Source organism: Homo sapiens, chromosome 11 (assembly GCF_000001405.40).
Source record: "Homo sapiens chromosome 11, GRCh38.p14 Primary Assembly".
Classification (NCBI taxonomy): Eukaryota; Metazoa; Chordata; class Mammalia; order Primates; family Hominidae; genus Homo; species Homo sapiens.
In genome coordinates, this window is record NC_000011.10 from 67,044,192 (window position 1) to 67,051,541 (window position 7,350).

The following is a 7,350-nucleotide window of genomic DNA, read 5'->3' on the forward strand; positions in this document are numbered from 1 at the left end:
ATGCTCACAGAACATCATTGTTGTTTAATCAAAGAATCTAATTCCATTCCACTCTGATCGCTGTGTATTACTACCGCAGTGTTTTCCTTGGCCTGCAATGAGGGAACGAAACTACATTTGATAGCTACATTTGACAGGCCGCCTCTGACCCTCCGCCCCAGGCAGGACCCTCCCGGTGGAAGGGAGGAGTGGGGCATGCTCCATGCAGTGGCGGGGGGTGGGTGGCTGTCCCTTTCTCCAGGCTGTCCCTGCCTGCCTGGAGCCCTGTGGTAAGGGGCCCCCAGTGCAGCCACTTCTCTATGGAGAAGGAAGCCCCAGCCTTTCCCTGGCAACCAAGGCTTTCCCTGGACCCCTCAAGTCGGGTGGGGAGAAGCCCTCTGAGCCACCTGTCTGTCCCCCAGGCCGCCGATGCTGTGGGGGAGATCCTGCTCTCCCTCAGCTACCTCCCCACAGCCGAGCGCCTCACCGTGGTCGTGGTTAAGGCCAAGAACCTCATCTGGACCAACGACAAGACCACAGCGGGTAAGGCCCAGCCGGCAGCCCGGCTCCTCCACGTAGCTCAGTGGAAGCTGTGGCCCAGCTGCTGTGCTGTGGGCACCCGGAGGCATCGGCAGGTGTGGGACACAGTGCCAAGGTCCCCCTCAGCTTTGCTGAGCCCAGAAGTCATGCAGATGGATAGGGGGTGGCATGGGGACAATTAATCCAGCCGGGGAAACATGAGATCCCTGGAGGGTGGCAGGGGCCCCTGTGAGGGCAGAGTGAAGGGGGTCAGAGTGATGCGGGGGTCTCAGGGCAGGAGGCCGCACTCAGGGCTGGGGGCACTGGGCAGGGAACCAAGGTGGGCATCTGTTCCCTGGAACTGGAATTCATGGTGGAGACTCCATTCCCAGAGACAGGGCAGTATCCCAGACTCCAAAAAGGGACCAGGGCCACGGGGTTGGGGTGGGTGCCAGGCAGGACCCGATGCCTTAGGTCTGCAGGAGTCCCCAGTCCCTCTCAAAGCAGTGACCGTGGAGGCAGCTGTATTCTAGAGAACTGAAGACCAGGGGCTGGGGGAGCCTGATCTATTGGGAGTTGCAAGCCTTGGGGCGGGGGTAGGTGGGGGGGGCAGCTCCAGGCAGGTGCGGCAAGGACACCCCGTGGGCAATAGGTGATGGGCAGACGGCAAGTTGTTATTTCAGAGCCGCACACGGTTGAGTCAGGCTCTGCTGTGCGGGTGCCCGGTGACTCAGGGCTGACGTCTGCACTCGGGCCATTTATAGAAGGAACACGGTGGGGCTGCTGAGTTCCCCAGAGCATCCTAGGAGGGGAGCGCGTGGGCTGTGAGGCAGCTGCCTGAGCACAAAGCCCAGCCCTCACCTGACGTGCTGTGTGAGCCTCAGTTTTCTCATCTGTGAAATGGGAAAAATAATAAAGGACCAATGGCAGGGCTGCAGGAGGTCACAGCAACAGTTAAGCATTGGGGAGTTTGGAGTCGGTGGGTGGAGCCAAACTGGGCAGGGCTGTGGTGAGTGAGTGTGACACTGGCCCTCACCTGTCCGCCTGCCCACAGACCCCTTCGTCAAGGTGTACCTGCTGCAGGATGGGAGGAAGATGAGCAAAAAGAAGACAGCCGTGAAGAGGGATGACCCCAACCCGGTGTTCAACGAAGCCATGATCTTCTCGGTGCCAGCCATTGTGCTCCAGGTGAGGGGGGCTGGGGGATGGGAAGGGGCCAGGTCACCCCAGGGCTCTGGGGCTGCCGCATCTCTCCACCTTCTCTTCTCAGGGCCCCTGCAGGGGTAGTGGTTTGCCTCCAGCCATCACTTTCTAGCAGTTATTGAGTGCCACTGGGGCCAGCCCTAGGGTGGGTGCTGGGGACACAGGCATGGCTTTCTCGGTGCTCACAAGGGACAGGCAGGAGAGTCCCTAATCCACTAAGAGTGTCCTCAGGTGAGGGGGGATTCCTGCAGGAGGGGATACCCAGCTCTGAGGGAGGACCATTCCTGGTGGAGGGAACTGCAGAGGGTTGGAGAGGAGCTGGGGTGAGCCAGGCACCCAGAGTTCCTGCTCTGAATCTCCCAAGCTCCATTTCAGGGTTCTGCTGAACTCCCCAGGTTCGCGTGGTCTTCAGAAGGTGACATGCTCCAGGGAGACCTCTCCCAGCAGGGACATCACAGACCACGGGTGGGGCTTGAAGATAGGGCTTGGGCCCTGCTTGCATGCCTCGGAGGATGGGGCTCGCACCACCTTCCCTCACTATCTCTAGCCCTCCTCGGCACTCCTGACAATGAGAAAGTCCTTTGTGCCTTGAGCCAAAACCTGCCTCCATAGCCCCAGGGCTGTACAGAACCCGCCTAATCTCCCCCAACCCGGGGACCCCGCCAGCATGTAAAGGCCCAGAATCTGCCTCACTCTGAGTGTTCCTAACCCGGGCACACCCCAGCATCTCTGGCCCATCCTGGGTATCGTAGCCTTCACCTGCCACCCTCGTGGAGCAGGCTGCCCATGTGTCCTCTGCCTCTCCCTGGGTGTCATAGTGCCACTTCTCCACAGCCTCTAAAAGCAAGAGACTTCTTGGGACCATGGGGGAAGTGGAGGAGGAGAGAGATCGGGCTGGGTTTGAGTTTCAGCTCCCGCTCTCATCTCAAGCAGTCTCTCCCGTCCTCGGTTGTGAGTGCAACGTGGTGATATTAGTAATAGCAACGCAACCTCTAGCATGTTCTGACTGTGCGCAGGTGCCGTTCTACACAGTTCACTCTTTTTGTTCCTGAAACAGCCCTATGAGATAGAAACCAATTTTTTTTTTTTTGAGACAGAGTCTCACTCTGTTGCCCAAGCTGGAGTGCAATGGTGTGAACTCAGCTCACTGCAACCTCCGCCTCCTGGGTTCAAATGATTCTTCTGCCTCAGCTTCCTGAGTAGCTGGGATTACAGGCACCTGCCACCACACCTGGCTAATTTTTGTATTTTTAGTAGAGATGGGGTTTCACCACGCTGGCCAGGCTGGTCTTAAACTCCCAACCTTAGGTGATCCACCCACTTCGGCCTTCCAAAGTGCTGGGATTACAGGTGTGAGCCACTGTGCCCACCCCCAATTTTTTTTTTTTTTTTTTGAGACAGAGTCTTGCTCTGTCACCCAGGCTGGAGTGCAGTGGAGTGATCTTGGTCACTGCAACCTCCACTTCCCAGGTTCAAGTGATTCTCCTGCCTCAGCCTCCCGAGTAGCTGGGATTACAGGCAAGCACCATCATGCCTGGCTAAGTTTTGTATTTTTGGTAGAGACAGGGTTTCACCATGTTGGCCAGGCTGGTCTCGAACTCCCAGCTTCAGGTGATCTGCCTGCCTCGGCCTCCCAAAGTGCTAGGATTACAGATGTGAGCCACCATGCCCAGCCAGAACAAATATTATCATCACCATTTCACAGATGGAGAAGCTGAGGTAGCAAGAGCCCAAGTCACTGCCCAAGGTCACACAGCAAGGAAGTGGAGGCCAGGCGTGGTGGCTCATGCCTGTAATCCCAGCACTTTGGGAGGCTGAGGTGGGAGGATCACCTGAGGTCAGGAGTTCAAGACCAGCCTGGCCAACATGATGAAACCCCCATCTCTTTTTTTTTTTTTTTTTTTTTTTTTTTTGAGACGGAGTCTCGCTCTTTCGCCCAGGCTGGACTGCAGTGGCGCTGTCTTGGCTCACTGCAAGCTCCGCCTCCCAGGTTCACGCCATTCTCCTGCCTCAGCCTCCCAAGTAGCTGGGACTACAGGTGCCCGCCACCAGGCCGGGCTAATTTTTTTTTTGTATTTTTAGTAGAGACGGGGTTTCACCATGTTAGCCAGGATGGTCTCGACCTCCTGACCTCATGATCCGCCCGCCTCGGCCTCCCAAAGTGCTGGGATTACAGGCGTGAGCCACCGTGCCCGGCCGAAACCCCCATCTCTACTAAAAATACAAAAATTAGCCGGGCATGGTGGCAGGAGCCTGTAATCCCAGCTACTTGGGAGGCTGAAGCAGGAGAATTGCTTGAACCTGGGAGGCGGAGGTTGCAGTGAGCTGAGATCATGCCCCTGTACTCCAGCCTGGGTAACAGAGTGAGACTGTCTCAAAAAAAAAAAAAAAAAGGATCAGGGGGAATTGGGGAGGCCAGCATTTGAAACCTGGCAGGCAGGTGCTGCCACTGTGGAGGGAGGCAGCAAGAGAAACCTGAGGGCCTAGGCAGGCCTAGTTCAAACTCTTGCCTGCCATTTATTTGCTGAGTGACCTGGGGCAAGTCTCCTCACCTCTTAGATCAGAGGTGAGGATTCAGGGAGCTGTGCCTGGCACCCCACTGGGGCCTGACATTTGTAACCTTGAACCCAGAGGCCAAGAAGTACCTCTGACTGCCCCTGGTCCTCAGCACCCATGTTGCCTCTTCCTCAGGACCTGTCTCTCCGCGTGACGGTGGCTGAGAGCAGCAGCGACGGCCGTGGGGACAACGTGGGCCATGTCATCATTGGGCCGTCAGCCAGTGGCATGGGAACCACACATTGGAACCAGATGTTGGCCACGCTGCGCAGGCCCGTGTCCATGTGGCACGCTGTCCGGCGAAACTAGCAACCAGGGCGGGCCAGTTGGGCAATGGAGCTGCTGGAGCCCGGTACCCACTCAGCTCTGTCTGATGCCCTCTCCATAGCCCAGCTGGAGCCGTGAACACTGGGGTCCCCTGGCAGAGTCCTCATGACCCATCCTGGTCTCTCTGTCCAGATTGCAGCAGAGGAGTGGGCGTGGCTCTGTGTCCAGGGCCCCAGGGTCTGCTCCTGCTGAGGACCAGCTGTGGCTGGGCCAGGACAGAGGACTCAACCCTGCTCCTCCCGGTAGGCCAGCTGCCGAGCTGGGCTATGTTCTGGAACCCAGTGAATCTTGGGGGCCAGGCACTGTGCTAGGCACCAGCAGGGGTAACACGAAGAAGACCCGGCCCTTAGGGCATCAGGAAGACTAGCTCCCCTGCCCCGGAGGATCTGCTCAGTGCTGATGGCAGCCCAGCTGTGTGGACTCAGGGGGCTCTGAGGGCTAGGGAAACAGGAAGGGCCTCTTTGACAAGGTAGGAGCTGTGCTTGGAGGGGCAGGAAAAGAACTGAGCATGTCGCAGGCAGCGGGCCCAGCCTGAGCAATGGCAGGATGTGAACTTCCCCATCGCAAATGCAGTTCTCAGCCCACTGCAGTGGATACAAGGAAGGGCCTTTCTCGGGGCCGGAGAAGAGACCAAGAGACCAGGCCCGGGCAGCAGCCTACCGGCCACGTGGAACACTGGCTCCGGAGTTATTCTCTGTCAAATCTACTCCCCGGACCTCAACCATGGCAAGAACCAGAGGTCCAAAGAGGCCCAGACCCAGGTCCTTGTGCTCAGTCCTGCGCAAACCAGGCCCAGACCCTGCAAGCATTTGTTGATGCCCTTGCAGGCCCACTGGGAGAAAGATGCCTCAGGCAGGTCTCAGCCTGGGGGTGGCAGGGGTGGGGCAGAGAGAATACTGACAGCAGAGGTCTTGGTGGGCTGCACGTGCCTGCGAAGATGTGGTGGACAAGGAGGCTCTCGGGCTGGGCCTTGGAGGGGTGGCAGCGGAAGGACAGCCCAGGTGGCTGAGGCCTGATGGGAAGCCGGGGAAGGCCAGGGTGGAAGGGCGGCTTGAGGGACGCCAGGAGAAGACTGAATGCCAGGCTAGGAAGGAGGCGGCTCTCGATCACGGGGTGGGTGCCCCCGACACCGGGTCTCCTAGCTTGAGTTCCCTAGAAGCGAAATCTGAGAGGGGGATTCTGGGGCAAGTAGTTTCTTGCGGGTGAGTGTTCTCAGAGAAACTTACCAGATCAAGAAAGGGAGCTCAGGCTGGATGGAGGAAGCCACGCAAGTGTGGCTTCAAGATCCATCGCCTTGGCCTGATCGCTGTGGGGGCAGGGGCCTGGAGTACGAGGGGCACCCTGGGGGCTCCCACCCAGAAGCAGAGGGGCTGGGCTGTTGCACCTCTACTGGCATCAGTCTTTGGTTACCCCCCAGCCCCAGTAGGAGGAGAGCAGGCAGAGCTTGTCATCCCCAGCCTGGTGTCCCGCAGTCCCAGGAAGCCGCTTCTTGCCTTCATGGCTGAGTGCTGGGAAGGGCTGAGCTCACCCAGGCCAGCAGGTGGGGTATCATCTGCTCGGTGGGGCCACCCACAGGTGACAGCATGGACCCTCAGGCTGGCTGCCCCTGTTCCTTGGTCCATAACTGGTGAGCTATGGAGACCCAGGCCAACAAATTATCCCCAGTGATATGGGGGGAGGAGGGGCTAGAACAAGGGCCCAGGGGACTGGAGGCAGGATGGTGGCTTTCCCTACCTGACACAGCCATGGCCCAGCCCCAAGGCCAGGCTGTCTACCCTATGGCCACAGCAGGAGGTCAGCCCAGGGCCAGGAGACACATGGCTGGACAAGGCTTTGCAGCCTGGGAGACCCCGACTTTCTCTAACCCAGTGGCTGTGCGGTGCAGGCCACTGACTCCCCCCCTGCCCTCTCCCCTCTCTCCCTCCCCCTAACTGCATGACATGTTAACTGTGTGCCCAGGACAGCCGTGGTGGGGACCGGGTATGCCAACTGGAATGATTCTAGAACCAAAATAAAGTTGGGGCAGGAAGAGGGGGCTTCCAGGGAGCCCTGCTCGGCCCTGAATCACCTTCGTCTCTTCTCTAGGAATCAGGGACTCAGGCCTCCTATGTGTTACTGTGCACCCTCCTTCCTGCTACAGAGTGCCCAGAGGGGAGTGAGGCCTCTCTCTGCTGGGGAGACCATCACAGGGACCAATGCATGCTGGGCATGGTGGCTCACACCTGTAATTTAAGCACTTTAGGAGGCTGAGGTGGGCAGATCACTTGAGGTCAGGAGTTCAAGACCAGCCTGGCCAACACGGCGAAACCGCATCTCTACTAAAAATACAAAAATTAGCCAGGTGTGGTGGCATGTGCCTGTAATCTCAGCTACTCGGGAGGCTGAGGCAGGAGAATCGCTTGAACCTGGGAGGCAGGGGCTCCAGTGAGCTGAAATCGCGCCACTGCACTCAAGCCTGGGCGACAGAGCAAGACTCAAAAAAAGGTCTCAAAAAAAAAAGGAAGGACCAATGCATCAGACTCCTTGGGAAGCTCAGAGGAGGGGCCACTGAGCCAGCTCTGGCAGGAGAGAGTAGGATGATGGGGAGTATCAAGGAAGGCTTCCTGGTGGTGACACCCAGCTGAGGCTTCAGGGCCAGAAGGAGGAGATCAGGTAGACACGGCAGGAGAAGCATTCCTAGCAGGGAACCCCATATACAAAAGGGCACAAGGGGGCGAAAACTTGGCCAGTGTATCCATTTGGCCAGAATAAAGTGGGGGATGGTGG

The 7,350-nt window shown here is 58.3% G+C and overlaps 1 protein-coding gene and 1 non-coding gene across 10 annotated transcripts in view, besides 3 other annotated features; both read left to right on the plus strand.

Annotated features, from left to right (window-relative positions):
- Positions 1–6,672, plus strand: part of SYT12 (synaptotagmin 12) — a 44,093-nt gene extending 37,421 nt beyond the window's left edge. For all 9 annotated transcript variants that reach the window (XM_011545346.4, XM_006718737.5, XM_024448766.2 and 6 more), the window contains 3 exons: positions 402–522; positions 1,553–1,686; positions 4,393–6,672. In XM_011545346.4, coding sequence (XP_011543648.1) covers positions 402–522; positions 1,553–1,686; positions 4,393–4,566 — 429 coding nt within the window. In that variant the 3' untranslated portion in view covers positions 4,567–6,672. The remainder of the gene's footprint in view (positions 1–401; positions 523–1,552; positions 1,687–4,392) is intronic.
- Positions 1,452–1,517, plus strand: MIR6860 (microRNA 6860). Its single transcript, NR_106920.1, has one exon. It is a non-coding gene; the product is annotated as a microRNA 6860 (primary transcript).
- Positions 1,905–2,034: an enhancer, noted in NCBI's record as "active region_5065". NCBI's record gives its function as "activates an Ori minimal core promoter by ATAC-STARR-seq in GM12878 lymphoblastoid cells {active_cell/tissue: GM12878}" and the evidence as "EXISTENCE:reporter gene assay evidence [ECO:0000049][PMID:35858748]".
- Positions 2,135–2,214: an enhancer, noted in NCBI's record as "active region_5066". NCBI's record gives its function as "activates an Ori minimal core promoter by ATAC-STARR-seq in GM12878 lymphoblastoid cells {active_cell/tissue: GM12878}" and the evidence as "EXISTENCE:reporter gene assay evidence [ECO:0000049][PMID:35858748]".
- Positions 4,584–5,112: an enhancer, noted in NCBI's record as "H3K4me1 hESC enhancer chr11:66816246-66816774 (GRCh37/hg19 assembly coordinates)". NCBI's record gives its function as "activates a minimal SCP1, AML or CMV promoter by ChIP-STARR-seq in primed H9 embryonic stem cells {active_cell/tissue: H9 hESC(primed)}" and the evidence as "EXISTENCE:reporter gene assay evidence [ECO:0000049][PMID:30033119]".
- Positions 6,673–7,350: the final 678 nt, after the last annotated feature.